At 43.2% G+C, this 27,783-nt stretch overlaps 1 protein-coding gene and 1 long non-coding RNA gene across 2 annotated transcripts in view; one reads left to right on the top strand and one right to left on the bottom strand.

Moving 5' to 3' along the window:
- Positions 1-13,928, top strand: part of PROX1-AS1 (PROX1 antisense RNA 1) — a 166,513-nt gene extending 152,585 nt beyond the window's left edge. Inside the window, exons 5-6 of the long non-coding RNA NR_037850.2 lie at positions 947-1,047; positions 11,136-13,928. This is a non-coding gene — a long non-coding RNA (PROX1 antisense RNA 1). The remainder of the gene's footprint in view (positions 1-946; positions 1,048-11,135) is intronic.
- Positions 1-27,783, bottom strand: part of RPS6KC1 (ribosomal protein S6 kinase C1) — an 811,495-nt gene that overhangs the window by 29,167 nt on the left and 754,545 nt on the right. The gene's annotated exons all lie outside the window — the stretch shown is intronic.

The raw sequence follows: 27,783 nt of genomic DNA, 5'->3' as shown, positions 1-27,783 counted from the left end.
CCAAGATGTGGAGGATGAGGAGTCAAAGACACACAGAGAGAAACTCTTCTAGGTGGCAGGGAGGGTGTGTTAGCTCAGAACATCATCCATGGGTGAGGTCTTTCAGAAGCCTAGTTAATGTCAGTTTCACAAACAAATAAATGAGCCACAATTTGAATAGGAATGATAGAAATGATTTTTGCTTTCCTAGGAGAGAGAATGAGGGTATAATACTGGGCTCTTTGAAGACCGTATAACCTCCTGGGGCTCTGGATATCCATGGGGTACACCTTCTGATCCTGGCCCACAGTAGCACTTCTTGAGTTCATTTCAAGACCGTGGCCATGAAGGCCTGATAGGAAGGTCTGCTGTGTTGCCATCACAAAGGGAAGAAAGTGGTCATGCTTTGGCCTTTCTGGTCCACAATTTCCCATTCTGGGGTTCTGTGAATCTAAAATGCAGCTCCAGGCTCTGTGGGTTTAGTCCTCCCTCTTCTCTTCAGCATCCCCTGAAGCTTGTCTGCTGAAGGCTGGAGAGCTGTTTCCCCACATGGGTCTTCGGGGGTGTGGGCAGGGTCTGGGGCCTCTTGTTTCCACCCATTTTTTCTCCCTGCTCCTGGACTTTCATACTTCTCATTACTATTCTGTCAGGCTGCAGCTAAGTTAGGAGTTCACAGGAAGGGGAGGTCTATGGGAAGGCCTCAGTTAGTAGCAGTCTGTACCTTGTCACTGCAGGCCAAGACTTTAGGCATAATTTTCCACTAGACTGTGTTTATTCTTTTAAAAACCTACCTCGAAAGTTGTCACCAGAAAAAAATCACTCTAATGCAATCATGTTAAAGAGATGAATAATATGCTTTTTCTAAGTACTGCTTTTTAATAAATCACTCTAATGAAATGAGTTTCTAAGTCAATGTTTCAGCCATGGCCATCTTTATTTAGCCTTTCTCTTTACTCATTGGACTCAGAGCCAGCCTTGACAATGTGCTGATGGCAACCTAGAACATAAGCAGAGGAGTATACAGGACAAGAACTTGATGGTCTCGGGAAAATGGACAACATGACTCAGGTAGGTCTGGAGAGAACAACTCAGTGGTACAACAGCATGTGTTAAGGTGTGGATCAAATCCCCCCAGTCAAGCTAGCTTTTGATATTCACTCAAGAATCTATCCAAGGATGGCTTATGAATGTGGTTAAATTTGGGGGATAAAGAGGAAAGACATAGGGCCCAGAAAGGGATGAACAAGTATGACGTGGGGTCTTATGGCCCCAGTCAATGGATTGGGTTGAGGATGTAGCTTCTGGTCCCAGAACAGGAGTCCTCAACAGGTGAAGCAAATAGAATTAAGGCTTCTTCCCCCTAAGGTTAAGGTCTTAGGCAAATACCCAATCCCAAGGTGAAGCCAACACAGTAGGCAGATTCACTATAATGTTATAGCTACTCAAACTCCAGTATCTTGCTCACTAAACTTGAGACCCAGATAATTTTTGACTATGAAGAAGACCTGGAGGTGATACCACAGACCAAATACATGGGTCTTGGTTACAGTATTCAGAGTCTAAAAGAGTAGGTAGGTCAAGTTTAGGTCCACTAGACAAGAAACTACTGCTTCCTGCCATTCAAGAATAGGTGGGCTGGAGCCTGTATCTAGAGACCATTAAAGATCCAGTTGTAAGGACCTAGCGCAGAGGAAGCCAGGTAGGGGCTGACACTGTCTTGGCTCATATTCATACTAAGACTCACTTTTGAGCTGCACTTTGTCAACTTTTTATTGCATATCTACTTTGGTCCACATATCCAAATGATTCTTTAATTCCCTTAGTTACCATAACATCCTCATGAAGATAGCTTATGATTTCAATCTTAGAGATAAGAAGACAGATACTATTAATTTATATAAAATAAATTGTTACATTAATTATTATTGGAATTATAATTATTATAATACAAACACAAATCTTTATGTTTCCATAGGAGAAAGCTATATTAGTTTCCTCCTGCTATTGTGACAAATTACCACAAATGTAGTGGCTTAAAACAATATATATTTATTGTCTTATAGTTCCAGACATTAGAAGTCTGAAATCAAGGTGTCTGCAGGGATAGCTCCTTCAGGTGACTTCAGGGGAGAACTCATTGCCTGGCCTTTTGCAGCTCTTAGAGGCCACCTGCATTCCTTGGCTTGTGGCCCCTTCCTTACATCACTCCAACCTCTTGCTTCCATTGTCACACCTCCTACTACTGACTCTTATTCCCCAGTCTTCCTCTGATAAGGACCTTGTGATTAGATTGAGTCAACCTTGATAATCCCCCCATCTCAAGATCTTTAGTTTAATCACATCTGTAAAGTCCCTTTTTCCATGTGAGGTGACACCTTCACAGGTTCTGGGGATTAGGAAATAAACATTTTTTTAAAGCAGGGTGGGATTATTCTGCCTACCACCAGAGAGAACGAAGGGAAGTGCTTTAAGCTGGGGAGTTGAAGGTGGCCAGGCAGAAGGAAGAATCTTAACTTTCTCTGAGGCTGGTGTGGAGCAGGAATAGGAGCCCTCTGGCATGCAGGAACTTTAGTGAAGGATGGCTATAGGAGACTGGTCCTCAGCAGGGAAGGACCACTGGCAGGGGGGTCTTTGAGCTGCCCAGAGCAACAGAGACCAAGACATTTGGCAGAACCCACTGTCAACAGCAGCATCTTGTAGCTAAAGAAAGAGCCAGAAAGGTGATGACTATCCTGCAGACATGTGGGCCTACTCCCCTGGCTTTCTGAGGACATATAAGCCAGGATTTTTGTGTATAAAGTAAAAGAGTAGGGGAAGGGATCCCCCAAATGACTAAAATAGAATATCTAGTCAGGTTGACCCGTGAGGCTGAAACAAGATTCAATATCGTTTTGAGAGTTTTTTTTTTTTTTTTTTTAAAGAATGTGACATTGGACCTTTCTATTGTCATTTAAAAGCTATGCCTCTTGCAGTTACAAACTTTTCACCATGGCCGTTGAAGGTGGAGGGGCAAGTAAGGGCACAGAACAAAGAGTTTTCTGACAATATTCTCGAAGCAGTCTTTATACCGGGATTAGCAATGAAGGGCCACCACACTTCCAAATGCTCCTCACTTGGAGGCTAAACCTAAGCCAGACTACCTGCTCGTGAGTCAGGCTCCTTAAATGGCAGATATTATCAGAATAAAAATAACCATATTAATAAGTTTATCCATTGGGGGGATGAAAAGGTGGTAGGGTATTCTCAAAAGGAAAATTAATTTCTTTTTATAATCTGCTGTAGTTTATTTCACATATTCATGACCCGCCCAGTATGTTTTTTCTTTATGATGAGCCATAAAAATGACAAAATACATTAGCCAAGTTCTTCGTTTCTGCTAAAATGACCATATTCAAAAATAATAACAGAGACTTGTATCAGCGATGCAAAAGATGCATGAAGTAATTGGGGCTTAATTTGTACACAAACTGTCAAGGCAGTTTTCCTCACGGCCTGCATCTTCTGAATTCATTAGTCTCTAATTACGGCCAGTGGGGACCAGCAGTTAGAAGGTTAAAGAGGTTCTGACAGGCCTAATCATTGCTCAGGAAGCTGAAAATGTATGCAAAGTCTCGGCAGATGGGGTGAGAGCGGCTTCTGCCAAGTGATAACTGTTATTCCTTTGCACCTCCAAAGCTGTCATCCTAATAGGCACATTTTAAATTTATTAATGCTCTAGTTACAATGCATACACAGTCTCTAATGGTATGGCATTCTGAGTATATAAACTGAGCAATTAACACATATTACCTGGTAATGGTAAAATTATTTGTTGCCTGTTTGACTTTTTTGGGGGAGGGGGTGTCTCCTATTCCAGTAAGAATTGTCCCAGGGAAAGCTTGCTTCCCTTTGTTAAAATATAATCAGAGCTCCCTTGGAGATAAATTTCTCTCTTTACTTGGATACAACAAACCAATCTGAATGTCTTGGTTCGTGCTTTCCCCAACCTGCCTCGTCAATCCCCAATTTCTGACCTCTCATGCTAGAATCTGATAGTTAAAAACAATTCTGGTAAGATGCTTGGTTGGACTTTTGGGAAGAGGTGGAGCACTCCAGGCTTTGATGATATGACCCTTTAAAGTGAGAAGAAACCCAGGCTCATATTTCTCATCACTGATTTCTTACTAACACATAAAAGTAAAGCTATGTATGTACTTTCCGACTGACAATTCCACAGTCATCAATATCTTATCCTTCTTTTGTGGCCTCCCTGACTTTAATCCTGATTGCTTTAACACTAACTAATCACCAGCAAGAGGTGCTTTTTTTTTTTTTTTTTTTTGAAACAAACGAGGTCTCTTGTCTTTCCTGTGACTGTACCCATGACATGGGAAGGGCCTTTAATTAAATGCAGCACTTAATGCAACAATTGTTTGCATGTAGGAGGCTATAGAAATGGAGACAGCTGGAATGGATAGTCCCTAAATTGTAGGCTTCGTCGGGACTACAAGATTCATAAGTGGTCCTAATAGCATGATAAGGTGTTAATCTCAGCAACAGAGCAATTATCTGCCCAGTGACTGACTGCCACTCTCTGCACCCACTAGCCCGTTGCAGCTAATTGATTTACACTGTATAAAAGTAATATAACAACAACAAATGTCTTGGAGACTTTATGTTAATTAAAAACTGTGATTACATTTCCCCACTAGGTGATCTGTTTGAAATTTTTATACCACATAGGAAAGATATCAAACTACTAGGTAATAAGTTTTCTTTGCCAAGTACCAAATAACCCATCCACTGTGGTTCCTTCAGTAGCTGCAAGAATAACCCTGGTTGATTAACAAATATGAGCTCTGTGACTTCGGGCAAGTGTCTTCATCTCTCTGAGCTTCAGTTTTACTATCCCAGTGTGAGGGGTTGGGCCAGACAACTTCTCTAAGATCTTTTTCAGTTCTAAAAGTCCAAAATTTTATGAATTCCAATGCCACGTAGCCAGGAAAGGATTATACAACTGAGCCACCGCCCAGCTAGTTAGGAACAAGTCAGGCCTTTCATCTTCCATGTCTCATTCTGAACTTGGAAGTTCAATCCGGTTTCTGATTATTCTGTTTATTTATAACTTGTTTTTAAAACATGTGCACGGTGGACTTTTCCGGCCCCCTTGCTGTATTCTTGCTATATGAGATATCCATTCATTTCCAGAGATTTAAAAAAACTTGTTTTCAGCATTGCTTTAATGGGAAATCCAGTGAAGAGAGTCTAGACATGCCCTGCGGTGGGTGTCAGCTTACTGGGTGTGATGTGGCACTGTGGGGAGAAGGGACATCTTTGGGTTGCATGAACTGTGAGTATGCGGGGTCTGCTCAGTGACCTCACCTATGCATGTGAGTGTGGACCCCACTCTATGTCACTCTAGTCAGCTCTGGCCTCATCTGGCTTTCAGTTCCCTGTCTATAGAGTAAAAGTGCCAGGCTGAATGCTCTCTGAAGTCTATTTCATCAACAGCGTTTGATGACTCTGATCCATTCTGACAAAAAGGAATTTCCTCAAAATTAGAGCTTTTCAAGCCAAATGGTATTTAGAAGAAACAGCAGGTAGAGAGAGAAAGAAGAGGCCTGAAAACCCTTTATAAGGAGAAAAGTTTGCATGGAAACCTTCATCATTTTGTGGATGGCAGGTCATGGTGGGAGGCACAATTTATACTCCAGTAAAAATAAAAATATTGATTAAGATTATTAGCCGAAGTTAAAAAAGAATGACCTGGGACTCTAGCATCCATGTAGAAAGCTGGGGGCTGCATTCCCTCCTTCAGGTGTCTCATCCGACTAGTCTAAGCCCTGCTAGAAGTGGTGCTGTAGCTGGCTCATCCCTGATGGTGAAGGAGAGTGATCACCGACCCTCCCTTGGAAATGCTCCCATCATGTTAAGGTTATCCATTTTCTAGATGGTGATTCTTGAAGAATGCATCACCTACATCAGAAATCCTGAAAAGCTTGTTATATAAAAAGTAAGCATAGGAGCCAACTTTTTTTTTTCTTTGAAGTTGATCTTTATGCCCAACTGAAGTTGGAAAATCACAGTTCTAGAAAGCAGAGGGCCAGGCTGCCTAATGTTCTTCCCTCCAACAACAGTGCTCTTCATTTTCCACTCTATGTGGCTGACTCACAGCCCTCTATGGCGAGGGTGGAGTGCCTAGCATGGAGGTTCCTCCTGTGGGACCTGCCCAGGAGCAAGGCCACAGCCGTGAGCTAAAAGTTAAGGTTGTTGCAGGCAAGCCCAGCTCTGCCCAGAGACCCCATCCTTCCAGCACGAAATGGAACCAGGCTTATTGGAGTCTGGTGTGCCTTCTTGGTCTGAGCCATTTTCACCCAGAGCCTTAGCTGTGAAGCTTCAGCAGGCTTTGACTGTGGAGGTTCAATAACATGTGGGAGTCTAAGAAAAACTATGCCCGGCTCTCTGCATTCAGGCTTACTCGACTTTGCCCACATCCATCCAGTCACACATATGCAAAAGGCCCCTAGTCATTGCAGTTCCTTGGAACTGTGACAACCTCAGAGTTACTCAAGCCCAGCGTTAATCTTAGGAGAGAAGAAAATTAAAAGAGTCTGCGGAGTGGAAATCCATTAGTATAATTTCCAGACTCAGTTTGGGAGAATGACTACTAGAAGCAGCAGAGTGTAGCAATGTGATGGGACCTGAACCCAGTCTGCCTCAAAATCCTGTCGTGAAATCTTGGCTCTATTTCCTGTCCATGGATCCAAGGGTAAGATGCTTAACTTTTCTATGCCTTTGTTTCCTTATTATAGGTAGAGAATAATAGTACTTCCCCCCCTTCCCAGGGTTGTTCTGAGGATTAAAAGAGTTAATAAATGTACAGTCCTTAGATCTATGCTCAGCAGACAGCAAGAACTCATTAATTGTCAGCCATGGCTACCTCTGGATAATCTATGAGCAGGCCCTGACCTTAGAAGGGGCCCACACTTGGTTTAATGCCCTGCTTTTGCCATCTTAAAATTCTTAGTATTAATAATTTGTAAACAAAAAATCCCACATTTCCATTTCGCACTGGACCCCACAAATTATATAGCCGGTTCTGCCTACAAGGTTGTTGTAGGTAAAAATCTCAAGTCTATATAGTATTGAAACTAAAATGACCAACCTGAGCATTATCTTATGGAGAAAGACTAGATTTTTCTCTAAGCAAACTGTGGGCTAAGGTAAATATTCTATGCACATTTGCAGGGCACCAGTGATTACTTGTTTATAGTGATATAATTTAGTGATAATAATATTGTATATTTTCATTTGTGCTTCAAAAGTTTAGCATTACCTGGACATCTGTACTTGTCAACATTGAAATGAACAGTAGTCAGTCTTAAACTTAAAAAAATTCTATTATGATTCTAAATTTCCTGTATTAGTTTCTAGATTTTTAAAATATAGATTTGTCATTTTTTTCTCCTAAAGATGGAGACAATATAACATTAGTTTTCTGCATTCCCTAAAGTTCCCACCATAGTCCTTGGCAACTAGTCATTACTTAGTAAATCATTTTGAAGATGACCAATAAGACGATCATCTGTCATTGATCTAATGAGTGATGGTGGATATATCTGGGTAATAATGAAATTAATATACAATTAGCCCCTTCCCGAAGTACACATTTTGATTGTTTTCAGTTCATGGGCTTTAATTAAAATTTAAAAACTAGGTTATGTGGGAGACTTTACTGCTTATTTTGTGGGAATTCCTAGCAATCATTCCATGATGAGCAAAGGATATTTTCTCAAAAATATCCCACTATAGGCCTTTATTAAATTCCAGAATATTAGAACTACATAGGACCTTAGAAATCATTTTCTCAGTGCCTGATTTTGCAGATGAGGAGACTGATACCCACAAAGGTTGTGATTTCTGAAAATCTCGAAGTTCACTGGTGCTTGGCAAGGGGTTCACCAACTTCCTAGGTTGTTAAACAGGGGATGATCCATGTGGAGGGGCAGTCTGGGGCATAGATGAGTCACTCTAACCTGGGCAACCCATCAAAAATGAGCTGGCCACCACTGGCTGGCATTAACCCCCTTGTAGGATTGCAAAAAGAAAACCTCAGTCACAACTCAGTATCCCTCTAGCACCGGGTTCTTCCTGGGTCAGTAGCTTGAGATTTCTTAAGCTAATATTTTCTCCCTCCCTGCTCCCTCCCTCTTCCTTTATATTCCACTTTCTCTGGAAAAACTGCACTGCAAGTATGCCTTTAAATCTTTCTGTATCCAGGTTTAGACAAGCAGCTTTTGCACATAAAGTTTGAGTATTGGCAGTCTTTGTTTCTAGTGCTGTGGAAAGTGAGTCCTGTCTAGCTGTGAGGAGGGGACCCTGGGGGTATTCCTGAAAGCATTTGGTGCATCCAAGAGCAAGGTGGGGTAGATGTGAAGCATATTAATTGACGCTTCAGAGCCTTAACTATAAGTCAGGGGTCTTGCTTCTCCAGATGCCCTGTAACTCCTTTTGGAATTGGTTCCATTTATCTTTTTGCTTGCTCTCTTACTTGGAGAGACATCCCTCCCTCTCTCCCACTCTTTCTTCTCTGGCCTAGCACTGCCAGGGAGGGGGCAGAAGCCTGCTGGGAGCAATGCCCTTGTGCCTTGTCAGCTATCCCTGTGTGAGAAGCAGCAGCCTTTAGGCAGCCCGTTGGTCCCACTGCCAGGATTGCAGGAGGCGGGCATCAATGCATGTATTAGTTCATTTTCATACTGCTGATAAAAACATACCCAACACTGGGTAATTTATACAGGAAAAAGGGGTTTAATGGACTTGTAGTTCCGTGTGGCTGGGGAGGCCTCACAATCATGGCAGAAGGCAAGAAAGAGAAAGTCATGTCTTATATGGATGGCAGCAGACAAAGAGAGAGCTTGCGCAGGGAAACTCCCCCTTATAGGACCATCAGATCTCATGAGACTTATTCACTATCACGAGAACAGCATGGGACAAGACCTGCCCCCATGATTCAATTACCTCCAACCAGGTCCCTCCCACAACATGTGGGAATTCAAGACAAGATTTGGGTGGGGACATAGCCAAACCATATCAATGCATGAGCCTGAGGGTTCCTTGTCCTTAGCAGTGCAGGCGATGTGATTTTTTTCAGAGAGCCTTTTGCTTTAGGTGCTACCTCTCAGGTGAGGGGGTTGAGAACTGGGGGCACCAGGACTCCTGTTTACCAGATGGAGCTAAGCTAACAAGGGAGGATGAGGGAGAGGAAATTGCTACATGGATTCTGGCTGTTCACTTGAAGATGTGAGGCAAACGTGTCCTTCAACTGGGCTGGGAAACAGGGCCAGCTCTGAGTGACATGGAGCACCCTTAGAGGGTAAATGAGGGAAAAGGGCCCTATTGTGTCACTGTCTTGGTCATACTTTGGGTGGAAGCACATCACCTTTGTGGATATGGGGACCTAGGGTCTTTCTCCCTGTAACATAGGAGGCCCTTAATGTTCATTGCCCTTGTCTTTATGGGATTTTCAGAGCTTTGAGCAATCTGGACAGGGGGGACAGTAGGAGACTGGGACTTTCTATGGATAGCATCGCTAGAGACCTTATCCTAAACTGAAAACCTCAGAAATATTTGCCCTGTTCTCTTACTGGCTGTGTAAACTTTGGAAAGTTACTTAGTCCCTTTTGTGCCTCAGTTTCCTCATCTGATTGTGGAGATCAAATCTGCACCTGCTTTATAGGATTCTTAAGCCATCCTAATGAGATAATATATGTAAAAAGTTTAGAACAGTGCTTGGTTCAACGCAAGATCTTATTGAAAGTTTGCTATCATTTTTATCATTATTGGTTTGATGTGGTGTGGTGTGTGTGTGTGTGTGTGTGTGTGTGGCTGTGATAGCCAACACCAAGGATGTCATGGTCACTGCACGAAGAATAAAAACTTGAATGTTTTGGCTGGAGAAAATGGAAATGGCAAAGTGACCTCCTTGGGATCCTCCATTCTGTTGGGAAGAGGAGGTAGTGGTTACCATATATAAGGAAGTATTCTAAAAACTACAAACTCACATTGCAGTACAATCCTAATCCCACATCATTATTAGACTGCTGGCTCAAAGTTCCTCTGGCTCAAGGTTTTCAAGCATCAAGTCTGTATTGAGCTCTCACAGGATACAGAGCTGGGGGCCTGGCACACTCATTCATCAATTCATTCATTCACTTAAACACTTTTTGAGCATCTATCGTGTGCCAGGCACTAGGAAAGGGCACTGACGGAGACAACAATATTTGCTCTCACAGAACTTAGGCTCTAGTTGGTAGGTAGATAATAAACATATAAACAAGTCATGCTATCATATACTATCATGTGATCAGCATATTAAAGAAGGTAGGATGAAGGGATAAGTATTACTGATAATGGGATGGTCTATGAAAGCTTTTCCAGGGGAGGTGATACCGAACATCCTTGAATGAGTGGAGTGAGAGTGCCAGAGGCAGAGGAAGTAGGAAGTAGCAAGGCTTTGATTTATAGCTGAGTGAAGCAGGCAAAGGAGATGAATATTAGAGACACGGGCAGGGCCTGGGAAATAGGCAGGGTAAGGAGTTTAGATTTTATTCTGAGCATTATTGGAAGACATTGGAGTATTTGGGCTGGACAGAATGACACAATATGATGTATGCTTCAGAGTGATCACTCTGACTGCTGTAAAGATAGTAGATTATAGAAGGTCCAAGGGTAGAGGCAGAAGCAGAAACCAGTTAGGATGTCATTACACTAATCTAGGAAACAACCCCAGGAAACTTGGCCTAGGATGATAAGAGCAAAGACATGAGAAGTGAGGTTAGAGCTAAAAGAACTTACTTCTGTAACATGTTGGAGAAAGAGAAGAAGCCAGGATGACTATTAGGTTCTTGATCTGAGCAACCAGAGGAGTGGGGTTGTGCTTAACTGAAATGGGGAAGATTGGGAGAGGAACAAACTTGGCAGGGAAGTCTAGAGTCCTACTCTGAACTGCTTTGGTTGATCTGGACATACCAATTAGACATCTGAGTGGCGGTGTCTAAGTAGGCAGCTGGGTAAGAGTCTGAAGTTCAAAGAGAAGTCAGGGGACACAGATAAATATTTGGGACTTATCCTATATAGCATTAGGTGGGACCATTGAACTTGTCTTTTTTTTTTTACAGGTGAAAAAGATTGATCATCAGATGTTTCTTATGTATCAACCTGATATTTAAATCCATGAAGGACAGAGACGACAAAGGCAGGTGGAATAGATAGAGAAGAGATTCAAGGTCTGAGCTCTACATTACTCAAACTGTTAGAGATTAGGAAGAAGAGGAAGACCTGGCAAAAGAATGTCCTGGGATGTAGAAAGAAAACCAGAAGCTTGTGTTCTCTGGAAACCAAATGAAGAAAGGGCTTCCAGAAGGACAGACAAAGTGTAGTGTGTCAAAGGCTCCTGAGCAATCAGAGGAGAGCACAAAGGGGCTCACAGGACTTTGGTATCTGGATCACCCAGTGACACTTCCTGATCACGAGAAACTGTCAGACCAACAGGGGCACTTTCTGAAACCAGCAGTTCTTCAGTGCCCAAATGCAACCTTGATGGTTTGATTTTGGAGGATGGCAATTCATTAACAGCACTCCCCAGTGATAAATATGAAAACCAATAAAACCCCCCACCCAAGGCAATCTCTCCCAGCTCCTCGCTTTGAGTAAAGTGAGTAACCTCCATTTCTGCCAACTCCTGTCTTGTCTGAAGCCACATTTCCCCAGCAATGTCACATATGCATTTCTTGATCCTGGTCATTTCTCCTCTTGGGAGATGAATCATAAAGAAAATGAGATCTGTGTGCCCTGGTGACTATGGATGCAAGAGTCTGCTGCCCTGGAGGGAACAGCTGGAAAAGTAGATGGTGAAGACGTGTGGGGGGGAAACAGTGGAGAAGGCATCTTTGCAGGGGATCAAGGTGACAGAGTGATTAGTTACACTGTTTTGACATGTGAGAACAGGGGGTTATAAAAATGGATACAGGAAGAGGGAGAGAAAGTAAGGACCAAAACATGAAGCCAGTCATGAATGTTTTTACATAAAAAGCAGCAGATTTACGGCAAATATGTGATGTTTCCACATTTTCTGCCTCTAGTTAGCAGGGGCAGCACAAAGAGCATTACTGTGGAGCTGAACTTTGGGTAAAAGATTAACAGCCAGTCCTTTCTCTCCAGTGTCTGCTTCCTTCTGGGCTTGCCCTGGGGGAAAAGGAGGGCTGGCATGGATATGCCTGCAGCCCTCACCCTAGATGTTCTTCCACGCCTCTCTGTTCATTCATTGCTTAGTCATTCCTCAGGCATGGATTGAGACCACTGTGTGCCCAGGACCGACCTGGCCTAGGATGGACATAGAGATGGAAAAGGCACAGGGAGCAGGTGACAGAGACAAATCAAGGTCATGGAGAATAGCAGAGTAAGATAGAAGATGAAGGCAGGAGATGGGGTTCTTGAGAAAGCGAGAGCAGGACTGACCCGTGTCTGCCTCACCTGTTATTGCTGTAGCCTCTTCTCCTTGGAGTATCCCTCCTGCTCTTGCATCACCTTAGGAACTTGGATCAGAGAGGAAAGTTACGGCCTGGATATGTTGTAGTAGGAGGGGACAAACATGTTTGGAGACAGAAATGCTTGGGGAGCGGGTGTTTTTGGGGGATGAGACTTTCCAGGTCTCTCAATTCACACTATGTAGGTAGTTCACTGCACAGCTTAAATAAGAGACAACTCTCCGGAGTGGTTGGCTCTCATCCAAAAAATGTGTTTTGGGCCTCAGATTTCCAACGGAAGGGCTGAAGCGTGACTGGCCTGATGTCAACTACTGAAGTCCACCTGCCCCTGCCCTATCAGGTGTGGAAATGCTGGGGTTCCTCTCTCAGAACCTACTTCCTGAGATGTCGAAATATACCCAAGAGTATTTCTGGGCCTTCTCCAATCCGAAACTGTTTAGTTTTTGTGTGTGTGTGCCTACTTGGCCACACTAGAAGACAGAGGTGGCCTGGGTGAAATGCAGGTTTCTAGAGGCTCTCTGACAAAGCTCAGGCCACCAGCCCCAGGCCAGCCTGTGGGTAGTCCTGGCTGACAGTCACTTCATACCTCACCTGGGCTTTTTGCCAAATTCAAAGTGTGTGTATATGTGGAGTGCTGGGTTCCCACCACTGACAGTCTGTAAGTCATTCACTTAGCTCAATTTGTCTTACTTTCTTCTGAAATTTCTTCCTTCTTGTTCTTTTTCCCAGGAGAAACCAGGAGAAGGCAGTCCTAGGGCAGTCTCCGGGCCAGCTTTCCCTAATAAGAAGGCAGAGCTCCTCTTCACCCAGACTTCAGACCTATAGAGGCAGCCTGGGGTCCCGGGATGCCCTTGCACTCAGAGATGTCCCCAGAGTCCTAGGGAAATGGAGGATAACTAGGAGGAAGCTGTTCATGGCTGGCGATGAGGTCTATACCTTCTTGTCCGTCTCAGTGCTGTCTGCTATTGAATTTTTGTGCAGATCACATTAACTTAAAGCCAGTTCTCAAGAAGCTCCCCCTGCCGCCGGCATATCCACCAGTTGCTCCCCTTTCCTGCCATTAATCAGGGTCTGCTAGTTAGAGAACAAATTCCTATTTGTCCAAACAGTTGCCAACACCCCCACCCCAAGGTAGTTAAATGAGGATGAATGGGTCATTCTTATTAAAAAATGACTTAAATTTCTCAAATTCTATTTATGTTTCTTTTACATCCCAATTTTCTATAGATTTAGTGACTCCAAATGATAAGGTCTCAAGCTCATAATAATTTATCCCTTGGGTAACACACAAGGCTTGGTGGTATTTCAGTAATATTCATGACAACAGCAGCTGTCGTGCTAATAAGGACTGATGTCACCAGAGCACTTTCTATGTGCCAAGCATGGTGCACAACACTTTACATACATTATGTCATTTAATTTTCACAAAACCTCACAGAGGTAAATATTATTATCTTCCTCTGCATATAAGGAAATGAATGTTCGGAAAGATTAAGTCAACTCACTGAGGTCCCATCAGTGCTCTTTCATATGCCTCTGTTGCAGTCTCATTGAACTGCTGAAATCAGAAAAACCTGGAGACCTTGTTAACCTTCAGATTCCTGGGCCCCATCTTAGATGCAGGGAGTCAGACTTCCTGGGAGTGTGGCCCTGGAATTTTCATTTGTAAACACATTCCCCAAGAGACCTGTATGCACACTAAAGTGGGAGAATTCACGATCTCTGGCTTTTGTGATGTTTTAAACGCACTATATAATTTCAGTAGCAAAAGAATTGGGCTTTGGGAAGGGAGTGTGTGGTGAACCCTGAAAGCTGAATGGACTTCCTTCCTGTGGAGGAGCAGTGGGAGAAACTGGAGGCAGAGAGCTGTGTTTCATTCCTTGATTGAGCCTTTGTGAGTTATTTAATCTCTTTCAGTCTCTATTTTTTTCATTTGTAAACCAGGAAGGATACTTGTATTTTCCAGGTGGTTGTGAGGTGTGAAAGAGATGAGAGTAGAACAAAATTTTAAAAGTTGAAAGCACTCAACAAATGTATTTGGTATTAATCATGGGTTTCCCTGGGGCCGAGGAAGCCACCAGCCACCGCAGGCCTGTACACAATGCCAGCCACCATGTATGGATACGGAGGAGGCAAAAGGACTAGCGAACACTCCCAGGGACTGGATGTCTTGAATATCTGTCCAACTTTCTTGGGAGGGGCCATTTCTTCTGTAACTCAAAGGAATTTATTATTTTTCAGCCAGGGAGGCATGCTTTCTATCTACTGCTAGTACTCCCAGACCAAGCTGTTTCAGTGGGACTGAGGTGTGACTTCTGCCTCGGTTTCATCCATCTGTGCAGGGAAGAGAAAAATGCCTGCACCTCCACGGTCACACCCTCTGTTGGAACCACCTCCTTAAGCCAGAATTATTGAATGTTCTCTATGTGCCAGAATTATTATTATCTCATTTGATTCTCACAACAATGCCATGAAGTCTATACAGACATACCTTGGAAATACAGCGGGTTTGGTTCCAGACCACCGCAATAAAGCTAATACCGCAATAAAATGGGTCACACGAATTTTTTGGATTAGGCTTCGGCTTAAGGGAATGTTGTGGCTGGTTTGATGTTTTATCCAGACCGCTAACACTTTCTCCCTATCAGCAATGAGGCTGTTTTGCTTTCTTATCATTCCTGTGTTCACTGGAGTAGCACTTTTAATTTCCTTCAAGAACTTTTCCTTTGCATTCATAACTTGGCTAACTGTTTGGCACAAGAGGCCTGCCTAGCTTTTGGCCTATCTAAGCTTTTGACTTGCCTTCCTCACTGAGCTTAATCATCTCTAGCCTTGGATTTAACGTGGAAAATGTGTGACCCTTCCTTTCACTTGAACACTTGGAAGCTATTGTAGGGTTATTAACTGGCCTAATTCAATATTATTGTGTCTCAGGGAACAGGGAGGCCCAGAGAGAGAGAGACGGGAAAACAGAAAGTCAGTGGGGCAGGCAGAACACACACGTTTATTTATTAAGTTTGCTGTCATATGTTGGTGCAGTTCATGCTGCCCCAAAACAATTACAATAACAAGATCAAAGATTCCTGGTCATAGATTGCCATAACAGATACAGTAATCACGAAAAAGTTTGAGATATTGTGAGAATTACGCAGATATTGTGAGAAATATGACCCAGAGACAAGAAGCGAGCACATGCCGTTAGAAAAATGGCACCAACAGACTTGCTTGCTGCAGGGTTACACATACCTTCAATTTGTAAAAAAAAAAAACTGTAATATCTGCAAAACGCAATAAAGAAAAGTGTAATAAAATGCAGTCTGCCTGAACTTCAATTATTCCCATTTTATAGAAGAGGAAATAGATGCAGGGAGTTTGATCTGCCTGAACTAGTAAATGGTAGAACTCTGGGACTAACATTCCTATCCTCTATGCTACATTCCTAGGAAAGAACGCTCAGACAGGGTTGGACTGAGAGTGTGTTAAGCTTTGCACTGTTTTGAGCCCTCTGAAGGAGTGTCCGTATTTGAAAGCTGGCCTCCTTCCTTTCACTGGCCCTCCACAGTGTGGCCTAAGTTATTCAATTAGGAAGGGAAATAATTGGCAGTGGAGAATGCCTCTAGCAGTGGTAATTACCTCCAGTGCCTTGTAGGAATAGTCAAGCTACATTTCAGTTTATGCTGTAAAACCTTAATTATAATATAAACAGCTGCCCTTCAGCCCAGTGGGGCAGCCTTCCCCCGCCTTCCTTCTCTGGCCTCTGAATGGCCCTGCCTCCTGAATGGTCAGGGAGGTCCAGGGACGGAAGGAGACCTGGGAGGAGGGGAGCCGATGACTATGCGTGCGTTGGGGTTTGGAAGACTAAGCTGGAGGGAGCCACTGCCAGGGTCCCATCTTCAAGTGATGAAGCCAAAGGCAGCATCCCCATTCTTGGTACCACTCACACTGAGTCTCTTGGGGGAGCAGCCTCCAGCCATTAGCAGTCAGCCCAGTGCCATTAGGCTAGGATAGGGTTTAGCAGGCTATGGTATCATTTCAGGGTAACATCTCTTTCTATTTACTCCCCTATAAGGGAGAACAGAGTCTTCCCTTCTAGATCCAGACTTCCTGGCCATGTAGGAGCCCTGTTGAGTGCCTGGTGCACTCTAGGTAGTATGCGAGGCATGGTTGCAAGGGTTCCCCATTTCAACTTCACAGCACTTGGATACACAGAAAATTAACATCCTCATTTGACTATTGAGGAAAATGAGACTTTGAAAGTTTAAACGGAGATAAGGCTTGGGAGGCAGACAGCCCTGTAAGTGACTTAAGTTCAGGAAGGAGAAGGACACTCAATATTTTTGTTCAGAGCACTGGGAAGGAGAGAGAGGGATCAGTCACCATCGGGCATTTGAGAAGGTCCAGGAACAGGGGGCTGGTGAGCAGAGGGGGGAATAACACCAGAGGGGCTGAAATTGCTGATTGCTGGGTTCACAGATCTACCCACGAGCGGCCCAGGTACCCCATGAGCGGCTGCTCTGTGTCATCTGACCACTGGATTGTAACCTGGGCTGAAAGAATCAGAAGTCAGTGTGGCGAGGCAGGAGTCCTCAGATGGTCAGAGCTGACTCTTCAACTCTTAAGGGCAAAATGGAAAATGTGAGCTTGTTGGTGGTCTTCGAAACACAGTAAGCAATCCATGCCCCTGAAGAGCAGGGATAATTATAGGCATGCCCTTGTTTTATTGTGCTTTGCAGATATTGCATGTTTTTACAAATTGAAGATTTATGGCAACTCTGCATACAGCAAATCTATTGATGCCATCTTTTTCCAATATCACATGCTCACTCTGTGTCTCTGTCTCACATTTTGGTAGTTCTCCCAATATTTCACACCTTATTATTATTATTATATCTGTTATGATGATCTGTGGTCAGGGATCTTTGAGGTTACTATTGTAGTTGTTTTGAGGTGCCATGAACTGCACCCATGTAAGACAGCGAACATAATCAATAAATGTTGTGTGTTCTGACTGCTCCACCAACCGACTGTTTCCCTGTCTCTTTCTCTCTCCTCTGGCTCCCTATTCCCTGAGGCACAATCATATTGAAATTAGGCCAAATAATAACCCTACAATGGCTTCTAAAGGTTCAAGTAAAAGGAAGAGTCACATCTCTTACTCTAAATCAAAAGCTAGAAATGATTAAGCTTAGTGAGGAAGGCATGTGGAAAGCTGAGATGGGCTAAAAGCTAGGCCTCTTGCACCAGTTACAGAAGTTGTGAATGCAAAGGAAAAGTTCTTGAAGGAAATTAAAAGTGCTACTCCAGTGAACACAGGAATGATAAGAAAGCAAAACAGCCTTTTGCTAATAGCGAGAAAGTTAGAGTGGTCTGAATAAAAGATCAAACCAGCCACAACATTCCCTTAGAGTCAAAGCCTAATCCAGAAAATTGGTGGGACTCACTTTATTATGACATTTGCTTTATTGCAGTGATCTGGAACCAAACCCACTATGTTTCTGAGGTAGATCTATATTGAACTCCTATTTTTAAATTTGTTTTCGATTTCAGTTTATAAGTTCTACATGTTTCATAATGGTCATATGCACAATAGGACATCTTTCTAATCCATACACAAATATATGTTCAGGAATGTTTTACAACTTGGGGTGCATAACTAAAATGTTTGGAGTTCACTGGGATAGAAGCTAATGATTACATTAATTACTAGTTTGTTTTGTTTATTAACTATGCTCAACAGGTAGTGGCTTGTATTAGTCCATTCTCACACTGCATCGAAGAAACTGGGAAAGAGGTTTAATTGACTCACAGTTCCACATGGCTGGGAAGGCCTCAGGAAGCTTACAATCATGGTGGAAGGGGAAGTAAACGCATCCTTCTTCACAAGGTGGCAGGAGAAAGAAGTGCCAAGCAAAGGGAAAAAAGCCCCGTATAAAAACATCAGGTCTTATGAGAACTCACTCACTATCACGAGAACAGCATGGGGGTCACTGCCCCCATGATTCAATCATCCCCCAATGGCTCCCTCCCATGACACGTGGAGATTATGGAAACTACAATTCAAGATGAGATTTGGGTGGAGACACAGCCAAACCATATCATGGCTCAATGTTAATAACTTGGAGTGATAAGAATTATTACTCATGGAGAATCTATGAGTTTGCTGTCTCATTCAATCTTGCAGAAACAAGGTAAAGTTGTGTCCACAGCATGGACTCTGAAGCTGGACCCCCTGGATCCAAATCCTTGCTCTGTCATCTGTTAGCCTTGTGACTTGGAATAAGTTACTCAGCCTTGCTGTGCCTTCATGTCTTCATCTGGAGAATGAAGCTCACAAATTCTAGGCTACATTGTAAGGTACATATGAGGATTACATGAGTTAATGCATGTAAAGCCCTTATAATAGTGCTTAGCCCTGAATAACCATTCAGTGAATGGTTAGTGACATGGATTTTACTGATAAGAAGATGGAGCTTCAGGGAGGTGAGTGGAAGAACTGGCATTCTGGCTAATTCCAAAGCCTATGTGTTGGGATCCACAATGTAAACCATTCTAAGTCCTTACCAACAACCTGATGGATCCAAGAAAGCATATCTGCTTCTCCTTTAATCACCTATGATTCTAACTCTCCTTGCTATGCCCACCATATCCATTTCCCCAGCCAGAACAGAGAAAAGGACATCCACATAGCTCCTTCTCAGTTGGATGATGCCCAGCAAGTTGGCCCTTGCTGCCCTCATCCCAAGAGGTTTACTGCTCCCGTTGGTCATTTAGGCTTCGCCCAAGCCCCTCAGGTTGTCCTGCTCCAAGAAAGAATTCTAGAGCCTCCTGGAGTTGTAGACACGGAAGGCAGGAGTATTGCAGAGCAGAAGGTGCTGCAAAGGACTCAGGTAGCAAAGGATACATGCCAGCTGGACACACTGGAATTGGAACTCACATCACTGCCTCTGCTGTCTGGTTTTCCTTGACAGTCCTTGAGTACAGCATCCACATGTTCTAATTCTGTATAAAACTGAGGAGCAAGATATCTTTGTTCTAAAGACTTTAAACTCTGTGTGAGTTTTAGCAATTTAATAGGCATCTCAGGTCTCTCTAGTCCCAGCTTCCTGCTCTGAGAGCAGTGGTTGGGTGAGGTTTAGGCTCATACAATCTATGTAAAACTTCAAATTCAGGGACTTCAAGGTGAGAAGTGCTAATCGCTATGAGAAGAGTAGGAAACCACAGTGATCTGGGCATCCTATGCTATGGACTCCCAGAGACGAGCTTGCTGTTGGCAGCCCCCCTCTGCTCCTCTCGTAGAGATTAGGTCCCTGCTCCCCCACTTCCAAGGCCATCTATCGCTCTATCTTCCATGAGCACCACAGAACAGATTCTCCACCCTCCTTCTCCTGAAGAACACAGCCTTTGGGAGTTTTCTAAAGGTTTTTAGTGTTAGTAGCAGTGAGAAACTAACAGTAAATAAAATTTCCAGACAAAAACGGAAATTTGCAGTGTTTCAAGACACTTTAAACGATGCATTTGAAACGAGTGGCTTGCATTAGGATGCAAATTAACATCCTTGAGTGGCTTTTTATATTTTTTATTTCATGTTAACCTGACTACAACTTTCTCATCTTCATGTGTTTCCTAGGAGTTCTTTAATGAAAAGCTGAAGGATGAAGCCCGGGGTTGTTCAACATGGAACAGGCTGGGCTGGCTCCATCTCGTCAGTTATCTCTTGGTGGGCAGCAAGACAAGGGAGAGATGATTAAAATAATTGCACTTTAAGACATCTTCAGCTGAGATCATGCCATTGCACTCCAGCCTGGGTGACAGCGGGAGACAGAGCCTCGCTCTTTTGCCCAGGCTAGAGTGCAGTGGCGTGATCTCAGCTCACTGCAACTTCTGCCTCCCGGGTTCAAGTGATTCTCCTGCCTCAGCCTCCCAAGTAGCTGGGACTACAGTTGCGTGCCACCACACCCAGCTAATTTTTGCATTTTTAGTAGAGACGGGGTTTCACCATGTTGGCCAGGAAGGTCTTGATCTCTTGACCTCGTGATCCGCCCTTCTCAGCCTCCCAAAGTGCTGGGATTACAGGTTTGAGCCACCGTGCCCGGCCGACATCTTTAGCCATAAAAAATTGCTTACAGAATTGTAAAGCCTCTCTTCATGTCAGTTTTCTTAACCTCCTCAACTCAACTGTCCGATGATGGGTTTACAAGCCCTTCGGGACTGCTGTGTTAAGTAAGAGGAATTTAGCTCCCCACATTCAGTGGGAGTTAAATATCCAGGGCCAGGTATAGGAAGAGGAGCTGCCTACCAGGTCTTTCATAGAAGCCAGTCCCTAAAGTAGAAAGAACAGTTCCCTCAAGGCTTGCTCTGTGGATTGCCTTACACGAATTGGTTCATATTTATAAGCCAATTTATCTGGGAATAAATATCTCTTTAACACACACAACTAACTCCTCAAGGGTGTCCAATGGGAACCAGTCTTCCTAAATGAACTGTCTTTAAAAGGGCTTTAACAACGGCATTGTCAATCCCTGAATTTCCACATGAAGAAAAAAAATTCATAGGCTACTCGGGCACATAGAATACACAGAATTTAAGAAACTGCTAAATTAAATCAAGACACCTAAAAACAATTTTTTTCATACACTGTGTTAAGGAGATGGCTATGGAAAGAAACAGATTTTTGTTATACAACCCTGAAGTTCAGTAATAGTGCATCTGACCTGAGATTAACTCAGACAGTAGTTGGCTTTCCCTCTGCCACAGTTCCTTCCCATACTACCAAAAAGAGGACATGGAATCTTGAACGTATGAAGCCTGTCTTTCTTCCTTCCTTCTTTCCTTCCTTTCTCCCTTTCTTTTTGTCTTTCCTTTTCCCTCCCTCCTTTTCCTTCACTTCTCCCTCTCTCCCTCTTTTCTTTCCTTTTTTCTTAATTTCTTGAGAGTAAAGAAGGGCATCCCACAAAAGTTAAAGTGAAGCTTTAGAAGACTGTTTTTTGTTTGTTTTGTTTCTAAGAAATTGTGTACTACTTCATCTCAAAAATAGAGGTGTTTTATTACATATCTTTATTGAGATGTAATTAACACACAATAAAACTATCTAATTTACAAAGTTGTTTGGAGTCAAGAATTAAATAAGATTAAGTAATAGAACATATTTGAAGGTGTCTCACACAATGCTCAGTGGTTGAATTTCGATATGACATAACTGTTTATACCACCCTTGTGTTAAAAACCCTCAATGGCTCCTCATTTCCTACAGAGCAGTCTAAAGTCTAAAACACAAAAACTTAAGGTTCTTAATAATTCAACCCCATCTTTCTGGTCTTGAGCACTGCCATACTCTCTTACACACCCGACTTGGCAGAAAAACTGGATGACAGGGAACTTTCCTGTCTCCAGAATTTTTTATGCTGCCCCTTTTCTGCCCATTGAGGCTCTTCCTTTCCTTTAAGGTCAGAAGCCAACTCCTTCATGAGTCCTCCTGGAAGATGACTCCTGATCACTCCAGATGGTTATTAATGCCCTTTTCCTATGGCCTATCCCATTATACTGCATGGTTTCTAAGATCTTTGCCACATTCTGTTTTGTGCTATTTATCGTGAGCAGCTCCTTTCTTTCATGTAATTTTGATGAACATTCATTGAGCCTCTACAATACCTGGGCAGTGAAGTAGGCATGGGGATGGGCTGGGCAGAGGTGCAGAGATAAATGACATACTGTGTGCTCTGGAAAAGCCCATGTCCTGGTGAGAAGCACGGAGGTTGCGAGCCCCGCCACGTTCAATTCTGTATCTTTAGCAGTGTCTAAAATGTCCCATGCAGAGCAGATACAGATGTTGAATAAAATCAGTATTAAAGGTGAAAAATCTCAGAGTGTTAAATGTAATTGCCTCATTCTAGCAAAAGAGCAAATTAAGGCTCAGGAAGTTTAAATAACATGCTCAAGATTGCCAGTGGCTCTGGAGTTGTAAGTAGAGTGCTATAAATAACCACAAACCAAGCTGAGAAGAGTCCAGCTGGGAAGATCAGGCATGGGGACTATTTTGTTTTGTTTTAAGTTTCTTTAAATCCAGAGTTGTCCTTGGTCATAGGAATCCCATTCTTGCCCATGGAAGTAAACCCCATTTCCTATGAGATGCCACTCTCTGGCCTCAGTGGAAGCTGGGTTTGAATTCTAGACCAGCCACTTACCAGCTTTTTGCTGGGATGAGAGATGATATCTCTGAGCTTTATTTTTCTTATCTGTAAAATGAGGATGGTAACATTTATATCATAGAACTATTAAAAAGATTACATCAATAATGAATTAAATAAATACACAAAAATAAATGAGTTCAGGCCCTGACTCCTGGAAAGTGTTGGTAGCAGTGGTGATACTGGTGTTGGTGGTTGGAGTAGATATTATAATTCAAACTCACCTGTCAGAATTAACAGCTAATGGTGTTTGTTTCTTTACGCAGTCATTTGTAAACTTAGTCCCCTAGTTATTTGGGAAGTATCTGCAACTTTACTTTGTAGGGTTCCCACTTCCACATTTATCAACTAACCCCTTGTATCACTTTGATATGTCAGAAAGAAGTTCATTCCTCATGGTTTTCTGTATCTTCTTCCAATTCGGCCAAGCTCTATGTCTTAACCCAGGGACCATTGCCAGGCCAGGTATGCAGCAATGAATAAGACTGATGCTCTTATAAGAGCAATAATTTTGACACTTCTCTCCCCACCCTACCTAAGGTGTATTTTTCTACCTGTTCCTGATGTTCCCAGGAACTAGTCTTCTTCCTTAGATTATTGACCACATCTTCCCACTGATTTGTTGAGTCAACTGCCAGCATTACTTTGCTGGTTCAGACCCTCCTCCTCCTCAGGCTTGCTTCATACCCACTCCAAGCCTCAGTTTACTACTGCCCTAGGCAGCAACTTGCCTGATTCCACATTATTGCAATCCTCCAGTAGCCAGGCCCTCCAAGGCTTCTCAACGGCAATGATAAGAAATCAAAGGGTAAGGGTAGAGGATGGAAGTGATGGTGGTCATGGTGGATAGAGAGAGGTGAGAGGCTGGTTGTGGTGTATTTATGCCCTTTGCACACCAATATCCATAACTCAAGTATATTCCAGTCAATCTAGCAGTGAAAATTTCACAACTATTCCCAGCTTTACTTTCATTAAGCCAGATAGAAATGGCAAGGGAAGATTCTGGTAATCACAATTGGTTTAGAAAAATAACTTCCAGAGAATGCGATAGGGTGACAGTGGATTCAGATTCATCTTGTTTATGCTGTCTATTTACAGCATTACTGTACCATGATCTCTGATGTATGGATCACTGCCTTATTCTTGAAAGGGTCCCCCAGTGCCTTCTGAATCATCATAATGCAAACAAATGAAAAGGTTACATTGTAATGAGTATCCTCTTAATATGGAAGATACTGTACATATGTTTAGTTTCTTGAAAATGAATTATTTGTGAGGGCGTATGTAGTAAACTTTGGCCAACTAGATTATACATGTACTTTGTTTTATTGTACTTTATTATGCCTCATAAATAATTGCATTTTTTATCAATTTAAGGTTTGCGAAAACCCTGTATCAAGCAAGTTTGTTAGTGACATTTTTCCAACAGCATGAGCTCACACTGTGTCTCTGGGTCTCATTTTGGTAATTCTCACAAAACCTCAAACTTTTAAATTATCGTTATATCTGGTATGGTGATCTGTAATCAGTGATCTTCGATGTTACTATAGTAATTTTGAGGGGGGCATCATCACCCATATAAGATGGCAAACTTAATTACTAAATGTTGTGGGTGTTCAGACTGCTCCACTGACCAGCCCATCCCTCATCTCTGTCTCCTCAAGCCTCTCTATTCCATGAGACATTTTAGGTAGAAACTAGGCCAATAAATAACCCCACAGTGGCCTATAAGAGTTCAAGTGCAGGAAGAGTTGCAAGTCTCTCACTTTAAATCAAAAGCTAGAAATAATAAAGTTTAGTGAGGGAGGCACATTGAAAACTGAAATAGGCCAAAAGCTAAGTCTCTTGCACCAAACAGTTAAGAGAAGTTGTGAATGCAAGGAAAAGTCCTTAAAGGAAATTAAAAGTGCTACTCCAGTGAACACAGGAATGATAAGAAAGTAAAACCACCAGGAGGAGCCAAGATGGCCGAATAGGAACAGCTCCGGTCTATAGCTCCCAGCGTGAGCGATGCAGAAGACGGGTGATTTCTGCATTTCCATCTGAGGTACCGGGTTCATCTCACTAGGGAGTGCCAGACAGTGGGCGCAGGTCAGTGGGTGCAGCGCACCGTGTGCGAGCCGAAGCAAGGCGAGGCATTGCCTCACTCGGGAAGCACAAGGGGTCAGGGAGTTCCCTTTCCTAGTCAAAGAAAGGGGTGACAGATGGCACCTGGAAAATCGGGTCACTCCCACCCAAATACTGCGCTTTTCCAATGGGCTTAAATAACGGACACCAGGAGATTATATCCTGCACCTGGCTCGGAGGGTCCTACGCCCACGGAGCCTTGCTGATTGCTAGCACAGCAGTCTGAGATCAAACTGCAAGGTGGCAGCGAGGCTGGGGGAGGGGCACCCACCATTGCCCAGGCTTGCTTGGGTAAACAAAGCAGCCAGGAAGCTCCAACTGGGTGGAGCCCACCACAGCTCAAGAAGGCCTGCCTGCCTCTGTAGGCTCCACCTCTGGGGGCAGGGCACAGACAAACAAAAAGACAGCAGTAACCTCTGCAGACTTAAATGTCCCTGTCTGACAGCTTTGAAGAGAGCAGTGGTTCTCCCAGCACGTAGCTGGAGATCTGAGAACGGGCAGACTGCCTCCTCAAGTGGGTCCCTGACCCCTGACCCCTGAGCAGCCTAACTGGGAGGCACCCCCCCAGTAGGGGCAGACTGACACCTCACACAGCCGGGTACTCCTCTGAGACAAAACTTCCAGAGGAACGATCAGACAGCAGCATTCGCAGTTCACGAAAAACCACTGTTCTGCAGACACCGCTGCTGATACCCAGGCAAACAGGGTCTGGAGTGGACCTCTAGCAAACTCCAACAGACCTGCAGCTGAGGGTCCTGTCTGTTAGAAGGAAAACTAACAAACAGAAAGGACATCCACACTAAAAAGCCATCTGTACATCACCATCATCAAAGACCAAAAGGAGATAAAACCACAAAGATGGGGAAAAAACACAGCAGAAAAACTGGAAACTCTAAAAAGCAGAGCACCTCTTCTCCTCCAAAGGATCGCAGTTCCTCACGAGCAATGGAACAAAGCTGGATGGAGAATGACTTTGATGAGATGAGAGAAGAAGGCTTCAGACAATCAAACTACGAGCTACAGGAGGAAATTCAAACCAAAGGCAAAGAAGTTAAAACTTTGAAAAAAATTTAGACGAATGTATAACTAGAATAACCAATACAGAGAAGTGCTTAAAGGAGCTGATGGAGCTGAAAGCCAAGGCTCAAGAACTACGTGAAGAATGCAGAAGCCTCAGGATCTGATGCGATCAACTGGAAGAAAAGGTATCAGTGATGGAAGATGAAATGAATGAAATGAAGTGAGAAGGGAAGTTTAGAGAAAAAAGAATAAAAAGAAACAAACAAAGCCTCCAAGAAATATGGGACTATATGAAAAGACCAAATCTACGTCTGATTGGTGTACCTGAAAGTGACGGGGAGAATGGAACCAAGTTGGAAAACACTCTGCAGGATATTATCCAGGAGAAATTCCCCAATCTAGCAAGGCAGGCCAACATGCAGATTCAGGAAATACAGAGAACGCCACAAACATACTCCTCGAGAAGAGCAACTCCAAGACACATAATTGTCAGATTCACCAAAGTTGAAATGAAGGAAAAAATGCTAAGGGCAGCCAGAGAGAAAGGTCAGGTTACCCACAAAGGGAAGCCCATCAGACTAACAGCAGATCTCTCGGCAGAAACTCTACAAGCCAGAAGAGAGTGGGGGCCAATATTCAACATTCTTAAAGAAAAGAATTTTCAACCCAGAATTTCATATCCAGTCAAACTAAGCTTCATAAGTGAAGGAGAAATAAAATCCTTTACAGACAAGCAAATGCTGAGAGATTTTGTCACCACCAGGCCTGCCCTAAAAGAGCTCCTGAAGGAAGCACTAAACATGGAAAGGAACAACCGGTACCAGCCACTGCAAAATCATGCCAAAATGTAAAGACCATCAAGACTAGGAAGAAACTGCATCAACTAACGAGCAAAATAACCAGCTAACATCATAATGACAGGATCAAATTCACACATAACAATATTAACTTTAAATGTAAATGGACTAAATGCTCCAATTAAAAGACACAGACTGGCAAATTGGATAAAGAGTCAAGACCCATCAGTGTGCTGTATTCAGGAAACCCATCTCACGTGCAGAGACACACATAGGCTCAAAATAAAAGGATGGAGGAAGATCTACCAAGCAAATGGAAAACAAAAAAAGGCAGGGGTTGCAATCCTAGTCTCTGATAAAACAGACTTTAAACCAACAAAGATCAAAAGAGACAAAGAAGGCCATTACATAATGGTAAAGGGATCAATTCAACAAGAAGAGCTAACTATCCTAAATATATATGCACCCAATACAGGAGCACCCAGATTCATAAAGTAAGTCCTGGGTGACCTACAAAGAGACAGCAAAGCCTGGATGAGAGCATATCTGTTTACAGCATGGTTTACTGATTTTTTTTTCTTTTTATTTTATTTATTTATTTATTTTGAGACGGAGTCTCGCTCTGTCACCCAGGCTGGAGTACAGTGGTGCGATCTCTGCTCACTGCAAGCTCTGCCTCCCAGGTTCACGCCATTCTCCTGCCTCAGCCTCCCAAGTAGCTGGGACTACAGGTGCCCACCACCACGCCTGGCTAATTTTTCGTATTTTTAGTAGAGACAGGGTTTCACCGTGTTAGCCAGGATGGTCTCAATCTCCTGACCTCATGATCCACCCACCTCAGCCTGCCAAAGTGCTGGGATTACAGGCATGAGCCGCCATGCCTGGCCGGTTGACTGAATATTTTAGGCCCACTGTTGAGACCTCCTGCTCAGAAAAAAGATTCCTCTCAAAATGTTACTGCTTATTAACAATGCACCTGGTTATTCAAGAGCTCTGATGAAGATGTACAAGGAGATGAATGTTGTTTTCATGCCTGCTAACACAACATTCATTGTCCAGCCTGTGAATCAAGGTGTAATTTTGACTTTCAAGTCTCATTATTTGAGAAATACATTTTCTGAGGCCACAGATAGTGATTCCCCTGATGGATCT

The sequence above is a fragment of the Homo sapiens genome, chromosome 1 (assembly GCF_000001405.40).
Source record: "Homo sapiens chromosome 1, GRCh38.p14 Primary Assembly".
NCBI classification, from domain to species: domain Eukaryota; kingdom Metazoa; phylum Chordata; class Mammalia; order Primates; family Hominidae; genus Homo; species Homo sapiens.
This window is presented reverse-complemented; position numbering and strand designations above follow the sequence as displayed.